The sequence below is a fragment of the Homo sapiens genome, chromosome 1 (assembly GCF_000001405.40).
Source record: "Homo sapiens chromosome 1, GRCh38.p14 Primary Assembly".
Classification (NCBI taxonomy): domain Eukaryota; kingdom Metazoa; phylum Chordata; class Mammalia; order Primates; family Hominidae; genus Homo; species Homo sapiens.
The window spans coordinates 36108467-36127258 of record NC_000001.11 but is presented as its reverse complement, the minus strand read 5'-3'; the positions used below and the strand labels follow the sequence as shown (position 1 = coordinate 36127258).

The following is an 18792-nucleotide window of genomic DNA, read 5'->3' as shown; positions in this document are numbered from 1 at the left end:
GACAGCCTGGGGCCCTCCCTGCTCCTTTCCTGGACCTGGTGAGGGCTCTGCTCTTTCCCACTGAAAATACACACACACACAGCCACACTCACCCCCACACACAGCCACCCACACCCCCCCACAGACACACAAACACACACACACACTCCCACCCACACTCACACAGCCACACACACCCACACCCACAAACACAGAGCCACACACACACTCCCATCCCCACACACAGCCACACACACACCCATACCCACAAACACACAGCGGCACCCACACACCCACACACACAGACACCCATACCCCCAAACACAGCCCCCCACACACACTCCCACTCACACCCCCCCACACAGCCACACACACAAAGCTACAATACACCCACACAGCCACACACACCCACACAAAGCCACATAGCCACATCCACACACCCAAATGCAGCCACACCCCCCACACCCCCCCACGCACATACCTCCCCACACGCACACAAATACACACCCCCACCCCTCCACACACCTACACACATGCTGACCCCCCACCCATGCGCGCACACACACACTTGCACACCCAAGCACACATACCTCCACATATGCCCACACCCACCTACACGCATGCACACACACACCCAGGCACGCACACACACACACATGCACACACACACACACACACCCACCTACACGTACACACACAGGCACGCGCACACACACATGCACGCACACACACGCCCACACCCACCTACATGCACACACAGACACCCACACTCACCTACATGCACACACGCACACAGACACACACACACACACACCCCAAAATCCTTTCCTGACCTCATCTCCCCTTCCCTCTGCACTTGCTGCCTCCTCCTTTCTCCCCTGCTGCCTGGCTACTGCCCCTACCCCCACCCCAACCTCCAACCCTTAATTGCTGTCCCTAAGAATGTCCTTCTGTGACAGCCCATCCCGTGGGCCTCCCTGGCCTTCTAGAAGCACTCTGCCTTTGCCTTCTGGGACACTGCTCTCCCGGTCCCTGCCATCTTCTCAGTCTCCTTTGCCGACCCCTCTCCCTGGGCAGCCCCGTGAATGCTGATGAGTGTCCTGCCCGCGCCCTGCCCGCCTCCCTGGGCCCGCTCCTTATTCTATGGCATCAGTCGCCATCTGCAAACCGTGGATTCCTCCTCGCTATCCCAGAACTCTCACCTCCCTTCCGGATCCATGGAAGTCCCACAGGCTCATCCAATTCATTACATCCGTCCTCCTTCTTCTCCTAGACCCTGCCGCCCCCAGGCCTAGCCCAAAGCCTGCGCACTGTCCTTGACACTGCTTCTTCCTAGGCCCCTCGCCCAAACTCTGCCTAGTTCGCCTCCTCACTCCCCTCACACTGGGCCCTCCCTTTCCTTCCCCCTCACTGTGCACCTCATGGGACCATGCCAGGGTATTCCCGCAGCCTCCTCGGTGGCCTGCCTCTATCTTCCTCCACACAGCTTCGGGAGGCTCTTTCCAAAGCACACATCTGACCACGTGACTGCCCTGCTCCAGAGCCTTCCGTGACTCCCCATTTCCGAGGGACGAGGTCTGGCCTGCTCCCGCCTGCCTCTGTGACCCCGGCTCAATGCCCTAAAGCCTGAATGTGCGGGTCACGACTGGCCCCTGTGAGTCCTCCGGGCTCAGCCTACCGAGGTCACGTCTGCAGGCAGCCTTCTGGGGACTCCTCACTGGGGGCCACCAGCCCGAGCTGCCCCTTCCCTGCAGGACCACGCCTGGCCGTCCTTCTCAGCAGCCGCGTCCGTCCCCACAGGCAGGTGGCCCCTCGAGGGCAGGGGCTGCGCGGACTCCCCGGCGGCCGAGCCGCGGGTCAGGTGGACGGGGAGGGATGGGGGCGGGCCGCCCGGGAGCGCGTGTGTGGAGGGGGCTCGGCGTGGGTGTCGGGGAGGGAGGCAGCCGTCCGAGTCCGCGCTGGGCGCGCTGGGCCGGGCGGGGCGCGGGCCTTGGCCGTGGCTGTGGAAAGAGGAGGGCGGAGGCCCCGCCCCGACGCGCCCCTCCTGCCGCCCGCCCACTCCGGCAGCCGCGAGGGGCGGCCGGCAGAGCGACGCGGAACCCCGCCGGCGCGGACCCCGGACCCCAACGCCGCCCGCCCAGCCGCGGACGCCCCTGCCCGGAGCCCTCGCCGCCCGGGCCGCCCTCGAGGGCCGGGAGCGGCGCCCGGCGGCCGCGCCCGCAGGTAAAGGCCAGGAGGCGGGCACCGGGGCTCGGGCTGGGGGGCTCCGAGGGCAAGACCTGGGCTGGGCTTCCCCCAACACCATGCGGGATAGCAGGGCCGGCGCCTCGGACTCCGGGGTGGGGACGCGGTGGGGGACTCGGGCCAGGGGGTCGCCTTAGAATGGGGGAGCCCATCCCGTTCCCTGTGCCCCGTTCCCTCCCCGGCAGGATCCCAGTAAAGCCCCCTCCTCCCTTCCTCTCCCAGAAGCGAGGGCTCCAGCATAAGACAGTGCCGGGTGCAACCCCCGACGATGTGGCTCTGGGCGCGTCACCACCTCCCGATCTCCCGTCCCACCTGTAAAGTGGGGATAAAAAAGCCGCCTTCACAGGGTAGTGGAGGAGAGAGGAGGGAGTGAGGGGCCTTAGCATCCCCCCGCTCTCACTCCTGCCCCCATCTCTCTGCCATTGCTGATTTGCTGGAGACCTTCCAGTTATAAGGTTTTTCTGCCTTAGCCCCCAGGTTCCTCCTATTCTAGGTGCCCTGTCAGTCCCCTCGCCCCAAACTGAAGACAAGTTCCCAGGAATGTTCCTGTCAGGGGCTCAGCATCCCCCCAGCTCCAGACTGAGACTTGCAGGGGGTGAGGGGCCGCTGCCTGGCCAAGAGGGACTGGGGTCCCAGGGCCCCAGAACAACCTCCCAGTGTCTCTGCCCTGGGTCTGGAGCCACCCTAGCCCCGGAAATCCTCCAGGTAGAGAAATGCTATTCAGCCAGAGGGCCCAGGAACGCTATTGCCACGGGGAAAACTTTGCTGGTTGTATGTGTGCACGCACGTGTGTGTGCCTGTGTGAGACCATGCTGGGTTCCTGACACAGACGTGCGGCTGACCTCCTTAGGGGTGCCGGAGCAACCAGAAATCATCCCTCCTGTCTGCTATCAGTACCTCTTGCTCAGGCTGGCAGCAGGGGCTCATCCACTCCTCTTAGCAGAGTCCCCTTGGCAAGGACAGCCTCCCAGCAGCTGTACTGGGCATTTGAAAAATCTGGGGGCCGTGGAGCTGGATGGCTGGAGGGTCAGGCAGCCTGGGGTTCCTCTCTGGGGACTGAGCTAAGATCGACTGATCCTTACTGCCCCAAGCAGAGGGGGCCGCAGGGCAGGAGTTGGTGATCTCTGGAGAGACACCATGGTTGGTGGTCTCCATCAGGGCACAGGTGCTGTCACTGGCTTCCCAGTGGACTGGTGAACACCTACAAACCCTTGGACACACAATGACCCTAGATGATAATGAGGAGAAACCACAGACATGCTCACCCAGCCACACACAGCCTTGCACCCTTCTGAGAGCCATGCACAGTCACACACCGACCCAAACATTCATTAGATTCATGCGGACACCCTCCTCTAATGAAACATACACCACCACAAGACACAGGCGGACACATGCACACACACCCAAACTCCTACAGACACATGGCAGGCCCCACGTGGCCCAGCCAGACATACTCAGACAGGACGGCACACACACACATACGCTCACACCCAGACACACTCACCAGGGTCTCTTTCTCTGGTTTCACTTCGTCTACCACAGTGAAAATGAGAATTTCCGCTCTTTGGCTCAGAGGAAGGGGAAAGAAAATATGGAAGTGAATGTGTCTGTTAGCAAGAGGGAGGAGAAAGATACTAAGCAGGGCTGTCAGCCTGAGCCCCTGTACTCCACTACCTTCTCTGCTCCTGCCTGAGCCGGAACAAAGGACGCACAGCCCCAGCTTCCTTGCCCTGCTGGCCCCCCAGCCCGCTCCAGAACTCTCAGTGGCAGGGATGGGGCACCTCTTACAGGGAAGTGGGGTCTCAGATGCGCTGGTCCCATCCGTGGCAGGAGGAAATTATAGTGTCGGGTCGGAGGAACGAGAGAGACACAGCGGCCTCTCCTCTGGGGTGTGGCTGTGGTCTCACGGTGCCCTACTAGGTACCCGAGGAGGGGCACCATGCAAGCCAAAGTGCAGATCAGGGAAGGTGGCACCTAAGAGGTAATCTGGCCAGGGCTTTCGAAGATGATAATTTTGACAGGTGCAGGGGGTGGAAAGGGTGAATGGGAGGGTGTTCCTGGCTGAGGGCACAGCTCGTGCAGAGGTGTGGAGGGGGAAGCTTCAGGGTTCTCTCAGGGACAGTGAGTAATGGGAGTAATGGGCACTGTTGGATCACACTGGGGAGTGGGAGGGACTCATGACTTTGAGGTCAGATTTCTAAGGGCCCTGTCTAGAGAAAGGGTGTGAGCTGCGAATGATATAATCTGGGAATCACTCTGGCTGCTCTGGGGAACAAGGATGAAGGGGGGATCTTCGAGGCAAGGGAGATCACAGAGGAGGCTGGGCAGAGTTTAAGGAGAAAGGTGACGGGGGATGAAGTGGGCGGTTGCCATGGGGATGAGAGGAAGAAGTAGATGGAAAGGAGTAAGCCGGTTGGCGATGGGGCCAGAAGCCTTGCACTGGATGGCTGTGGCCTGTCCCCAGAGAAGGCAGGTGCAGGGGAGATGTGGGTTTGGCGCTGGGGTCTGATAAGTTGAGATGACTGGGAGCTGGAGGCTGAGTGTAGCCTTGAAGCCTGGGTGGGTTTGCGAGGCCATATGTGGACACACATGTGCCCAAGTACCAGTCATGGAAGTCTGACTCCCAGAAAGAGAATTCCAGGCCCACTTTGTTCTGAGGGCATTTCCAGAGTGGGTGGAGTGTGGACAGCAGATCTTGAGTAAGGCAGCATGTGCTGTGTGGAGATGAGCTGGCATTGGGAGTCAGACAGATCTAGGACTTCCCAGCTCTGTGCCTCAGTTTCCCCATCTCTAAAATGGGAATGCTGTACTGGTCTCCAGAGTTGTTTTGCCTGCAGAGAGGTGAGGAGTAGTTCCAGGTCACACATGCAATGGGGGCACAGCACCTAGATCTTCCGATCAGTGTCCATTCCGCCTCTCTGGTTGGACCCTGGGAGTGGACTGGGGAGGACCTGGCCGTGCTTCTATTCAGATTCTTGGAAAGTTCTGAATTGGAGGCTGACTATCCCCATGCAGCCTGGATGGGCTGGGATTCCTGGCTTTTGAAGGGGAAGAAGAGGTCACATGTGGGGGTGGCGGAGGGCTAGTGCCTCATGGGGAGAGCCAGGTGGCACTGCTGGCCCAGCTCATGGATGGGGTTATGGAGACTCAGAGGGGAACTCACCTGAGGTCACACGGCAGCCAGAGGCAGAATCGAAACAGAGGCCAGGATCCCAGGCCCAGGTGCCCTTCCTCACAAAGGCTGCCCTCCCTCAAAGGACATGGAGCAGAGGGAACCTTACTGGGTTTTGTGATTTCTTTCTTTCTTTTTTTTTTAATTTTTTTTGAGACAGAGTCTGGCTCTTGTCACCCAGGCTGGAGTGCAGTGGCACGATCTTGGCTCACTGCAACCTCCACCTCCCAGGTTGAAAGATTCTCCTACCTCAGCCTCCCAAGTACCTGGGATTATAGGCGTCCACCACCATGCCCGGCTAATTTTTTGTATTTTTAGTAGAGATGGGGCCAGGCTGCTCTTGCACACCTGACCTCAGGTGATCCGCCCGCCTTGGCCTCCCAAAGTGCTGTGATTACAGGGGTGAGCCACTGTGCCTGGCCAATAAGAAGGAATTAGAACAGCAACTTTTTTTTTTTTTTTTTTTTTTTTTGAGACAGAGTCTGGCTCTGTCGCCCAGGCTGGAGTGTAGTGGCATGGTCTCGGCTCACTGCAACCTCCGCCTCCCAGGTTCAAGCCATTCTTCTGCTTCAGACTCCTGAGTAGCTGGGACTACAGGTGAGCACCACCATGCCCAGCTAATTTTTGTATTTTTAGTAGAGATGGAGTTTCACTGTATCGGCCAGGCTGGTCTCAAACTCCTGATCTCATGATCTACCCGCCTTGGCCTCCCAAAGTGCTAGGATTATAGGAGTGAGCCACCGTGCCATGCCTGGTCTTTTTTTTTTTTATTAAGACGGAGTCTCACTCTGTCGCCCAGGCTGGAGTGCAGTGGCGCGATCTTGGCTCACTGCAACCTCCACCTCCTGGATTCAAGCGATTCTCCTGCCTCACCCTCCTGAGTAGCTGGGATTACAGGTGTGCACCACCAGGCCCGGCTAATTTTTGTATTTTTAGTAGAGACAAGGTTTCACCATGTTGGCCAGGCTGGTCTTGAACTCCTGACTTCAAGTGAGCCACCCACCTTGGCCTTCCAAAGTGCTGGGATTATAGGTGTTAGCCACCATGCCTGGCCTTTCTTCCTTCCTTCCTTCCTTCCTTCCTCTCTCTCTCTCTATTTTTTTTTTTTTTTTTGAGACGGAGTCTCGCTCTGTCGCCCAGGCTGGGGTGCAATGGCATGATCTCGGCTCACTGCATCCTCTGCCTCCCGGGTTCAAGTGATTCTCTTGCCTCAGCCTCCTGAGTAGCTGGGATTACAGGCACACGCTGCCAAGCCTGGCTAATTTTTATATTTTTAGTAGAGATGGGGTTTCACCACGTTGGTCAGGCTGTTCTCGAACTCCTGACCTTGTGATCTGCCCGCCTCGGCCTCCCAAAGTGCTGGGGTTACAGGCGTGAGCCATTGTGCCCGTCCTCTTTTTATTTATTTTTTTGAGATGGAGTCTCTGTCACCCAGGCTGGAGTGCAGTGGTGCAATCTTGGCTCACTGCAACCTCCACCTCCTGGGTTTGAGCAATTCTCCTGCTTCAGCCTCCCTAGTAGCTGGGATTACAGATGTGTACCATCACTTCTGCTAATTTTTGTATTTTTAGTAGAGACGGGGTTTCGCCATGTTGGTCAGGCTGTTCTTGAACTCCTGACCTCAAGTGATCCGCCCGCCTGAGCCTCCCAAAAGGAATGGAATCTCAATTGTCGTACGTCTACAGTGTGTGGGGCATCTTCATAGCACAAGGGGTTTTTTGTGGAGGGGGAAAGAGGAATAGCAGGCATGAGAAGGTCAGACCCAGAGAGAGCCCAGAACCGTGAGGGCTGGGATGGTATTTTCTATTATCTAGGAACCCTTGGTGGTCCCTGGTGGGTCCTGCAAGGGAGGGAAGCCTCTGTGAAGAGGCGGGGCCTGAGCTGGGGGTCCTGGCCTCTGGTCTCAATTCTGCCACTGGCTGCTGTGTGACCTCAGGAGAGTTTTCCTCTGAGTCTGTGTAACCCCATCCATGAGCTGGGCCAGCAGTGCCAGCCTGCCTCTCCTTACAACCTGTGGTGAGGAGAAACCTAGATTGCGGGGTAGAGGGGTCAGTTATCTCCTGAAAGATCCCAGGTGGCCAACTCTTTGGTCTCCACACCCGTCCAGTGTCCACAGCCCCCACCACCCGGAAGTTCTCCTTTCTGGCTAGCCTCCTTCCTTCCCACTGTGCTGGCTGCCACCAAGCTCTGCGTGGGCACTCCAGGCCACGCTCCCTGACAGGCGACCACGGCTCTGCTCATGGCAAGCATTCTTTTCATAGTTCCTGGAGCACAGCAAATCCAGCTGCTTAGCCAGGAATGCAGAGCCCCCTCCTGCAGCGGCAGCAGGGGCTGGATTGGGGTTGGAACCCCTGGGGGTCAGGCAGGAGGGACTGAGGGGGTGCGGGGGACTGACCTTCACCCCAGTACACACCATGCCTCAGCTTGGGGGAGCCAGAAGGTTGTCCTCATCTTTGGACTTGCTTAGCTTGGGGCCAAGCTCTGGGACCATCCTTCCCTGGCTGGGGGAACTTGGGCAAATGGTGAACTTGGGTTCACCACTGTGCCAGGCCAGTGATTATATTTATAATAGGGCATATTTATTTAGGATTCCTATATGCCAAGCACTGCTCTGAGTCCGTTACACAAAATTAACTTGTTTAATCCTCACAAATGCTCTGTGAAGCTGAGCTGGGCAGCTTTATATGGGCTGGGCAGAGCTGGATTCAGATTCCACCCCTTTCACTTCCTAGCCTGGTTACCTTGGAGAATGGATGTGACCTCTCTGGGACCTAGCACTCTTCCTCAGTAAAATGGGACAGCAGTTCCAGCCTTCCAGGGTTACGGGAGTAAATAATGCCTGGAGTTCCCATTTCATTGATGAAGAAGCTGAGGCCCAGGTGGAGGTCTCATGCTAGTAAGAGCTAGGGCTGAGATAAGGATGCATGCAGCTGGGCTCCAGAGAGGTCCTCTTAATCCGACATGATTTTTAAAGCAAGACTCTTAGTCCAGAGCCTGCCCGTAGTAGGAGCTCAGAAATGGGAAATTTTCCCATGAGCCCCATCTCTGGCAGGAGCCAATTGTTCACCTCATGGCCATCAGCACCTCAGTCTGGAAAGTTGGAATGGGGAAGCGGGCCTGAGGCCCTGGCCAGCCTCCCTGGAACCCTGCAGCTCTCAGAAGCTGGTTGGGGGTGGGGGGCGGGGGGTGCAGACTGTCCCACCCACATCTGGTCTGGGATTTAGCCAACAGCGGCAGGCTCTGTGCAAAGGGGAGACGTCGCCAGGGGAGGGGCTCCAGGAGGGGATTAGGGAAGGCAGCTGGGGGTGAAGGTTAAGAACAGAGTCCCATTGAAGTCGGCTCAGGCACCGCCCTGGCTTACCCACTCACCCCAGCTTCCTATTTGTAAGACAGAGGGGGCCTTGGCCCACTGGAGTGGACTCCTGAGGCACCTGATAGTAGCTGCCCACTCTGCTCCCAGCCTTGCCTGTCCCTGGTGCCATCTAGGTTGAGGCAGCACAGGTGGGGTAGAGCAGGAGTAGGGGGCAGGGCCCGTGGCTGAGGTCTTCAGGGAGCCCAGGTATACAGGGCTTTAGCCACCTGGGGGCCAGGCAGAGCTGGGTTCAGATCCCACCTCCTTCACTTCCTAGCCTGGTTTCCTTAGAGAATGGATGTGACCTCTCTGGGACCCAGTGCTCCTCCTCAGTAAAATGGGACAGCAGTTCCAACCTTCCAGGGTTACAGGAGCCAATAGTGCCAGGAGTGTGCCTAGTGCTATGTCCAGTGCATACAATGAACTTGGGATGCAGACACCGTTGTTCTTAACGGTTAACATGGGGGAAGGGAATGGGGAAGCAGCTTTAGGTAGGATCCGCATCTCTGATCCTGATATTCAAGGCATTTCTCAGTCTGGCCCCAGCCAGGTCTCCTCTCCTCAAATCATCTGTATGGTGAAAAGCCTAGGCTTTGGAGCCTGCAGCCAGGGTTCAAATTCAGGTTCTACTTTTTTTTTTTTTTTTTAAGAGATGGGGGTATCACTATGTTGCCCAGGCTGGACTCAAACTCCTGAACTCAAGTGATTCTCCTGCCTTGGCCTCCCAAAGTGCTGGGATTACAGGTGTGAGCCACTGTGCCCAGCTCCAGGCTCTACTTTTCATGAGCTGTGTGATGTTGGGCCAGTTACTTATCCTCTCTGTCCCTTAGTTTTCTCATCTGTAAAAAGGGAAGATGAAATACTTTTGTCACTGGGTTGTTGTGAGGATTAAATGAGATAATTCATGAGAACACCCAGAACGGTACCTGGCACACAGTGGGTACACAATGAATATTAGCTATGATTAGTTAGTTCATGTGTTTGTCTATTTTATTTGGATTCTCTCCATCCCCTGAATATATTCAGGGCTTTTACACTCTCACACATGCTGTTGCCTTGGCCCAGGACTGATCACCTCTCTCCACTACCAACCAGTTAAATCCATGTTCATCCTTCAAAGCCCAGAGCCAGCTTAAGTCATTTCTTCTCCCAGAGTCTCATGGTGCAGGGACGGGGCTGGGGCCGGAGAAGCTGGGGCTAAGCTGAGCTGGAGGGTCCTCCTACCTGGGCTCCATCATCCAGGCTGTGGCCCCATGACCCAGCTCTGGGGTCATAGTGTTCAGAGTGGCAGGATGGAGGCAGGGCTCAGCTGAGTTGGAGAGAAGGCCTAGTTGCTGCTGGCTCCAGCATCTGGCTGCTTGTGCAGCTACAGACAGGACTGGATGTCAGAGTTTCCATGGGAGCAGGCAGAGGCAAGCAAGCAGCTGGGGGAGAGAGTGACGCGGCCTGCAGGCCTCCCTGCCAGGTGGGCTGGCTGGGCATCCCCTCCCCATCTACCCCGGAGTCATGTCTGGGTCTGGACTTTAGCTCTGGATCCTCTGCGTACAGCTATGTGACCTGGACTACGACTTTTGTTAGATCCTGGCACCACACCTGATTGAGGCAGAAATGGGGACCTAGCCATCCAGGGCTCTGACCACATCACTTCCCCCACTAAATAACCCTCCATGGCTCCCCATTGCTCTCCAGAGAAATGCAAGCATGGCATTCAGATTTCCTCACCATGTTGCCCCAGCCTCCCCATCCCACAGCACTTCTGGACCTTCCCTGTATATTACTACCTGAAATTCCTTCTATCACCTCATCTGCCTTTCAGACTCCGACTCATCCTTCAGGACCCAGCTGCAGTGTCCCTTTCTCCATGAAGCCTTCAGGGGAAGCTTAAGTCGGCAGTATTCCCTGCTTCATGCTCCCACAGCCCAGAGATCTTTGCCAATTGTGTGATGACCGCTTGTCTGATGCCCCCAGCCCTTCAGGGCAAGGCAGGGCAGGGTATGGGGTTGAACCATTTCTGTGGTCCATGACCCAGGCTTGGGTCCTCCACATAGTAGAAGCTTCCCCAGCAGGGATCCTAACCCAAAGTAGGGGCCACCCCAAACCAGAGCTGACATATGGGAGGGACTTCTCCAGCATGGGAACCCGGGACACAGAAGGGGCATCCTCAGCCTGGGCCCTAGGACAGTAGGAACTCCTTGAATCCAGGGCCAGGCACCCCGTGGGTATTGCTAAGTGTGCACTGAATGAATGGAGTTGTGGAGTATGGGGCACATACCCTGCTTCCCTCAGGGGAGGAGGGAACTGAGAAGAGAGACTGAGACTGGGGCCGGGTTTCCAGCAGGGGGTTCTGGTAAGAAGCCCGGGGCAGGCACTGGTGTGGCTGTGGGTTAGGGCAGGAGGCTTCCCAGGCTCCTGATGTCATCGTCTCACTGTTCCTCCTTTTTTTTTTTTTTGAGACAGAGTCTTGCCCTGTCTCAGGAGTGCAGTGGTGCAATCATAGCTTACTGCAGTCTTGAACTCCTGGGCTCAAGCAATACCACCCACCTCAGCCTCCTAAGTAGCTGGGACTATAGGCGTGCACCATCATGCCCAGCTAATTTTTTAAAATTTTTAGTACAGACAATGTCTCCCTATGTTGCCCAGGCTGGTCTCAAACTCCTGGGCTCAAGCAGTCTTCCCACCTTAGCCTCCCAAAGTGCTGGGATTACAAGCTTGAGCCACTGCCCCATAGCCTCACTGTTTCTCTTGTTCATCCTCAGGCCCTGCCTCTGCTGGAACCTTCCCAGGCCCCTCCGACCTGAAAGGTAAGCTAGGTTTGGGGATGGGGTTTTCTGATATCTCAGGCCAGATGAGGCCTGTGTTCATTGCTGTCTAACCTCACTCCCTCCTGCTGCACCGGAAGCCCCTCCCAGGCCCAGAGAGTCCTGTGAGCCACCCCTTTTGTATGTGACCTCAGCTCCCTGCAGCCCGGGCTTTAAAACCCTGGCCCAACTCGGAAGCAGCTTTTTCTCATTTGTGAACTATTTCGCCTGGCTCCTTGGCGGGGCCGTGTTTGCTTGGCCCAGCCTGGGTGCAGTGGCCTGGCTGTGCTCCCGCCAGGCCCCCTCCCTGCCCAGCCCAGCCCCTCCTGCTGCCGCTGCTGCCGCCACCACGCAGGGTAGCCGCAGAGGCCCAGGAATCTTGGCAGGCGTGGGGAGGCAGCGGGTGGCGGGTGGCGCTCCGGAAAAGGCTGCAAATGCGAACCAGAAGGTGAGGGATTGGAGGCTGAGGAGGCCCCGCCTGCCCCTGCCTGAGGCCTGGGGGTGGCTGGGTCTGTAGGGGCCCTCGGATGTCCAGTTCCCATCAGAAGCTCAAGGCCTCTGCTGGGAGGCAAGCGACGGCCCCAGCTGAGGCCGGAGCCCCTGGGTGGGGAAGGGCCAGCTGCCTGGCTACCTGCCTGAGGGTACATGGCTGCCCTCAGGTCTGCCCACTGCCGGGCCTTTTCTAGTCCATCTGCCCCTGCCCGGCTGTTCTTACCTTCCTGGGCACTTTGTTATTCTGAGATGCTCCTCCCTAGGGAAGCAGCGGAGAACCTAGACTCAGAGATGGGCAGAGGCCAGGGGCTTGGTCACCTGCAGGAGGGAGTTCGGTCCAAGCCCCCTCCAGCCCAGAACCAAGAAGGACTCAGGAAGAGCAACAAAGAGAAAGTGGCCCTGTGATAAGCCACCTGAGGGCTTGGCTGGACAAGGGAGGTGGGTTTTTCAGAGGCCTGGACCTGGAGCCCCCAGGCTACAGGCTTCATCGAGCACATGCCCTGTGCCCGCCTCAGGCAGGAGGGAGGTGTGGGTGGGGAAGAGGTGCTTTCATGCAGGTGGGTGCCCAGAAGGAGCTGTTCTGCCTGAGGGAGGCAGGGAAGGCTGCTTGGAGGAGGAGGCTTTTGAGCTGGGTCTTAAATGAGAACTAATATGTTTCCATGGAGGAGAAAGGTAGAAAGGGCAACCCAGCAGAGAGGATCATGCAGGAAAAGGCAGGGACAGGGAGGCAGTGAGACGTCTGGGTTGTCTGGATCCTAGTGTGTTGGGGGAGGAGCCCAGGGCTGTGGTGGGCTCCACTCACTCCCTAAATGTAGGCGTGTTCCCCAAGGGGGAATCCGTGGGCCTCCTCCAGGCTGCAGCAACCCCGCCAACGAACCTGTATTTTTTTTTTTTTTTTTTGAGATGGAGTCTCGCTCTGTCGCCCAGGTTAGAGTGCAGTGGTGCGATCTTGGCTCACTGCAAGCTCCGCCTCCCAGGTTCCCGCCATTCTCCTTCCTCAGCCTCCCGAGTAGCTGGGACTATAGGCGCCCTCTACCACGCCCAGCTAATTTTTTTGTATTTTTAGTAGAGATGGGGTTTCACCATGTTAGCCAGGATAGTCTTGATCTCCTGACCTCATGATCTGCCTGCCTCAGCCTCCCAAAGTGCTGGGATTACAGGCATGAGCCACCGCGCCCAGCCACGAACCTGTATTTTTACCTCTAGCCCATGTCTCTCTCCCGAGTTCCAGAGCCCCAGGTTCACTGCTCCTTGGTTGCCCCCCTACCCTGGAAGCCTTCCTCATCCAGTCATTTGCTCTGATTTCAGCTTGGACCGTCCCACCATCACCTGCCCCCGTGGGCCTGTTGAACTCTGATCTCTCCTTCAAGCCTCCTTCCGATGCTACTTCTGAAACTGAGGCCACTTGTGGTCTGGGAGCCTCACTTGCAGGGGTGAGGGATGTTGGGACTGTTAGGTGGAACTGAAGTCTGGTAGGGCAGACCAGGTGGGCAGGTGGCAGCCCTCCTCTCCTGCCTTCAACCTGGGTGAGAAGGTGGCCCCCAGGCAGTCCTGCCCTGATCTGGCCACCTCCCTCCACCCTCCAGCTCCCAGATTCTGAGCTCCTCTTTGGCTTTGGGGCAGTCCTTATCTGCACAGTAGATAGAGAGCTCAGCTCGTGGGCACTGGACCCCCCGCCAAGTCCCTTCCCAGACCTCGCGGAGCTGCTCAGGCATTGTCCAGGGAAGTCAGACCCAGACCTGACGTTAACAGGAGCAGGTGTGGACTGTCAGTGCTGGCCTTCCCAAGGGTCCCACCCAATGACCAACAGCTAGAGATTTACAGAGCCTGGAACCCAGAAAGTGACCTAGGCACAGGACATGGGAGAGGACAGAGAAGGACAAACAGTGTCAGAGATGGGTGGATAGGTGGGATAGTGATACAGAGACAGGATGAGAGAGACGCACAGAGACAGAGATGTCAGAGACACACAGGAGGCAAAGGCCTGGGTTCAGTGACACACAGCGATGGACTGAGGGATGCAGAGGGCACAGCACACACTCCGGTGGCTCCTGCGTTGAGCTGGTCCCTGGCCCTCTCCTTACCCCCGTGACTCTTAGACCTAGAGTGTGTGCCTCCAAACGTGACCTCAGGGCTTTGCTGGGCTCAACATCCATCTCTCTACCCCCTCCTTCCTAACTGGTCCACATTCTACTGAGTCTAAAGCATGCCTCCTCCTCCAGGAAGCCATGTGAATTGCAGAATAACATGGAATTTGTCCAGGAAGCCACTGGAAAATCCAGAGCAGGGGACAGCCATGGGCAGAACTGTGCCAACGTGTGGCTCACAGACGGGCAGGGTCAGCGTCCTCTGGGAGCTCGCTAGAGAGGCAGATGTTGGCCCCTATCCCACACCAACCGAATCTCGATGGGGCCCCAGAACCTGCATGGTGATAGGCTGTCCCAGTCATCCAGATGCAGCCTAAAGTGTTAGAAGCATTGTGGGAGTCTCCATAGGCTATGTTGAGAAAACAGAGAGAAAGTGGGGCTGGGGGACTGGGTGAGAGACTTTTATGATCATCCAGGAGAGAATGTGGCCATTTAACACACTTTTACTTAGTGACGGGGGTGTGCCAGGTGCTGGGCTGAGTTTTGGGGGAATACAAGGTCTGCCTTAGGGTGAGGCTGTGGGAAAGCAGGGGAAGGAACAGAAGTGAGAGAAATAGAGCAGGCAGAGTCCACAGGATAAGGTTGGAAGTTTGGGGGAAAGGAAGAGAGATGTCATGTACAGTTGTGCAGGTTGGCTACTGTACAAAGGCACCCAAGAAAGGTGATGAGTAGGAGCTGAGTTGGCTGAAAAGAGGGGTACACCAAGGCATAGAGGGTTTCCTGTAAGAAAGGAGGGTCAGAAGTGATGTTCACCCTTAAAACAAAAATAGGCCGGGCGCGGTGGCTCAGGCCTGTAATCCCAGCACTTTGGGAGGCCGAGGCGGGCGGATCATGAGGTCAGGAGATCGAGACCATCCTGGATAACATGGTGAAACCCCGTCTCTACTGAAAATACAAAAAAATAGCCGGGCGTGGTGGCAGGCGCCTGTAGTCCCAGCTACTCGGGAGGCTGAGGCAGGAGAATGGCGTGAACCTGGGAGGCGGAGTTTGCAGTGAGCCAAGATCGCGTCACTGCACTCCAGCCTGGGCAACAGAGCGAGACTCCGTCTAAAAAAATAAATAAACAAATTAATTAAATAAACAACAACAGAAGTGATGCTCAGATTTTTGGCCTTGGCACCTGGAGGTACAGGGCACTTGGGCTGGGGAGAAGCATGTAATGAGGGAGAAGGTAATGATAGCAGTTTGGGTGGGATCTCTGAGGGACAGCCAGGGGACATGCTCGGCTGATAGTTGAACACAAGAGTCTGAGGCTCAGTTGGGAAGCTGAGGTGGGAGGATCACTTGAGCCCAGTAGTTCTCTAGAGCAGCCTGGGCAACGTGGCAAGACCCTGTCTCTTAAAAAACTTAAAAATTAGTCCAGCGTGGTGGCTTACACCTGTAGTCCCAGCTGCTCAGGAGGCTGAGACAAGAGGATGGCTTGAACCCAAGAGTCTGAAGCTGCAGTGAGCTGTGGTCATGTACACCACTGAACTCCAGCCTGGGTGACAGAGCAGACTGTCTCAAAAAAAAAAAAAATGGCTCAGGGGAGACATCGTAGTTGGAGACAGATGTGGGAGTCCTCGGTGATGGAGTTGGCACTGTGGGAGCTGGTGGGAGCTAGACACTATAGGAGAAACATCCAGAGAGAAGAGATGAGGCCTGAGCCAGCTCCTTGGGCAAGCCTGGGTCTGGAGAGTGGGCAGAGGAAGTGGGCAGAGAAGATTCTGAGGAGGAGCTTTTCAAAGAAGGAGAAGAGCAGAGTGACAAGGTGGAGCACCCCGAGGTGAGAGGGTGGAGGGGGAGTGAGTGGGGCCTGAGGGTGGAGAGCATTCTTTCAGGAGGCTTGGCTGAGAAGGGCTGGGGAGTGATGAGGGTGGCTGGGGAGGGGTCAGGCCCGTGTGGACATATGGATGGAGAGGCTGGAGACTGGGGGCAAGGGCAGCAATGGCAGACAGTGAGGGGCCCCCGAGGAAGAGGTGTGGAGGGGCCTGGGCCTTGCTCCTTCTTCCGAGATTCAGGAAAGGAGGATGGGAAAGGGCTCCCCAGTTTCTACCAGCTGGGAGAGTAGTGGGGCAGGTGGGGCTCAGGAACCCTGGAGAAGTCTGGAGCTGCCAAGCTGGGCAGTTGGGCTGGGTGTCATGCCCAAAGGGTGAGGAGGGTTCCTCTGCTCCTCCCCAAGGTCCATAACTCATTCCTAGTCCTGAGCAGGCTTTGTGGCCCCTGGTCAGTTTCATCTCAGGAATGGTTGGGGAAAAGGTCAAGAAAGCCAGAAAATTGACTTTAGAAGTTTATTTTATAGGCCAGGCACGGTTGCTCATGCCTATAATCCCAGCATTTTGGGAGGCCGAGGCAGGTGGATCACTTGAGGTCAGGCGTTCGAGACCAGCCTGACCAACATGGTGAAACCCCATCTCTACTAAACATACAAAAAATAGCTGGGTGTGATGGTGTGTACCCCTGTAATCCCAGCCACACGGGAGGCTGATGCAGGAGAAATGCTTACACTCAGGAGGTGGAGGCTCCAGTGAGCCAAGATCTCATCACTGCACTCCAGCTTGGGTGAGATCACTGCACTCCAGCTTGGGTGAGAAAGTGAGACTCCATCTCAAAAAAAAAAAGTTCACTTTACAAGATCCTGACCTTTGGCAGCAAGTAACCTGAGCTTTTGAAGAGATGGAGGAAAGAAGTTGCTTTGCAGCAGGATGAATTGAAATTAGAGTGAAGAGAGGACTTCCAGGTCATCAGGGTAGCAAGTTGGGCAGCACACATGGAGGGACTGGTGGCTTAGATCATCTCAGTTAATCCTTTTTTTTTTTTTTTTTAAATGAGAGCAAGCTCATTAAGACAGTAAAGGAATAGGCCTGGCGCGGTGGCTCACGCCTGTAATCCCAGCACTTTGGGAGGCCGAGGCGGGTGGATCACGAGGTCAGGAGATCGAGACAATCCTGGCTAACATGGTGAAACTCCCTCTCTACTAAAAATACAAAAAGAAATTAGCCGGGCGTGGTGGCGGGCCCCTGTAGTCCCAGCTACTAGGGAGGCTGAGGCAGGAGAATGGCGTGAACCTAGGTGGTGGAGCTTGCAGTGAGTCGAGATCGCGCCACTGCACTCCAGTCTGGGCAACAGAGCAAGACTCCGTCTCAAAAAAAAAAAAAAAAAAGGAAGTAAAGGAATAAAAAGAGTGGTTACTCCAAGGCCTGGCGCAGTGGCTTACACCTGTAATCCCAACAGTTTGGGAAGCCAAGGCAGGCGGATCACAAGGTCAAGAGATTGAGACCATCCTAGACAACATGGTGTCTACCTAGTAGAAACCCCGTTTAGTAGAAACCCCGTCTCTACTAAAAATACAAAAATTAGCTGGGCGTGGTGGTGTGTGCCTGTAGTCCCAGCTATTCAGGAGGTTGAGGCAGGAGAATCACTTGAACCTGGAAGGCGGAGGTTGCAGTGAGCTGAGATCGTGCCACTGCACTCCAGCCTGGCTCTGTCTCAAAAGAAAAAAAAAAAAAAAGAGTGGTTACTCCATAGGCAGAGCAGCCCCTGAGTTAATCCTTTTGCAGATGAGGACACTGAGGTTCAGAGTGTTTAAGTGACCCATCCAAGATCACCCAGCTGGTAAGTAGCTGTGCTGAAACAGGAGTCCAGGGGCTGCCTGGAACTAGGAGGGCCTTAGAGGTCTCAGGGATGGGTCCCTGATAGGGAGGGCCTGAGCCAGAAGTGCTGTTCACCTGTTGTGATGACAGAGACAGAGCCAGAAGGAGGAGGGGAGAGAGGAGTCAGGAGTAGAGACCCAGCAAGAGCGCAGAGAGCAAGGCTGGGGAGCAAGGAGAGAGCAGCGCGGGGCGGGTGAGCAAGCAGGGCAGCCGGATCCCACAGCAATGTCTCCACAACAGGAAGCGTCTCATAACATACCTGTGGTTTGGCCAGGCCCTGGGGCTGCCTGAGTGCCCCCACCGCTCCCTCAGCTGCAGTTGCTCTGTCTGGGGTGGGTGGGGGGCTTGGAGCAGTAGGGGCCTGCGCAGGGCTGCGTTTCATCCACCCACCCTGTGGGGGTCTGCCGGTCCGTTGGGAACCTAGCGGGTGCCTGGGGTCCTGAGGCACCAACTCTCAGGCCCCCCTTTTTTATTGAGACCTCTGATCGCTCACCTGTGAAATGGGATGGGAGAGTGGGCAGGTCTTTCAATTCCATGCTACCACATAGCCCTCCTCTGCTGGTCGCCTCTAGGAAAGGACTCTTTCGGAGACCAGGACTGCTGGGAAGGGTCCCTGCTAGCTAATGTCCTTTCCCCTCTTCAGGCATTTCTGGGAGCAGTGAAGGGGTCTGCTTCTTGCCAATTATTTCTGCTGGGGCCCATTTGCTGCACACCACCGCCACTCTGCCACCACTGGTCTGAAAGATCCCAGAGCACTCCCCACTCCCAGCCGGTCTCCTTGGCCTCCCTGGGAGGAGGCCCGGGCTGCCACAAAATGCTGACTTGGACAGAATGCTGTTTTATGGGGATTTGCTGAAAAGGGGGGAAATCCCCGTTAAGGACTTGCAGCTGTCCAAACACTGCATCTACCCGAGGCCGCCACTGCGCCGTCCTCTGAATCAGCGTCTCCTGTGTGCGTCCCACCTCGGGCTCC

General features: G+C 56.5%; 1 protein-coding gene across 2 annotated transcripts in view, besides 3 other annotated features; it reads left to right on the top strand.

Annotated features, from left to right (window-relative positions):
* COL8A2 (collagen type VIII alpha 2 chain) overlaps positions 2037–18792 on the top strand; it is a 29984-nt gene continuing 13228 nt past the window's right edge. For both annotated transcript variants that reach the window (NM_001294347.2, NM_005202.4), the window contains exons 1-2: positions 2037–2202; positions 11507–11551. The gene's annotated coding sequence lies outside the window, so the exon portion shown is untranslated. The remainder of the gene's footprint in view (positions 2203–11506; positions 11552–18792) is intronic.
* Positions 4525–4725: a silencer, noted in NCBI's record as "peak176 fragment used in MPRA reporter construct". NCBI's record gives its function as "represses an SCP1 promoter by STARR-seq MPRAs in K562 erythroleukemia cells {active_cell/tissue: K562}" and the evidence as "EXISTENCE:reporter gene assay evidence [ECO:0000049][PMID:32103011]".
* Positions 11389–12329: an enhancer, noted in NCBI's record as "H3K27ac-H3K4me1 hESC enhancer chr1:36580531-36581471 (GRCh37/hg19 assembly coordinates)". NCBI's record gives its function as "activates a minimal SCP1, AML or CMV promoter by ChIP-STARR-seq in naive and primed H9 embryonic stem cells {active_cell/tissue: H9 hESC(naive and primed)}" and the evidence as "EXISTENCE:reporter gene assay evidence [ECO:0000049][PMID:30033119]".
* Positions 12330–13270: an enhancer, noted in NCBI's record as "H3K27ac-H3K4me1 hESC enhancer chr1:36579590-36580530 (GRCh37/hg19 assembly coordinates)". NCBI's record gives its function as "activates a minimal SCP1, AML or CMV promoter by ChIP-STARR-seq in primed H9 embryonic stem cells {active_cell/tissue: H9 hESC(primed)}" and the evidence as "EXISTENCE:reporter gene assay evidence [ECO:0000049][PMID:30033119]".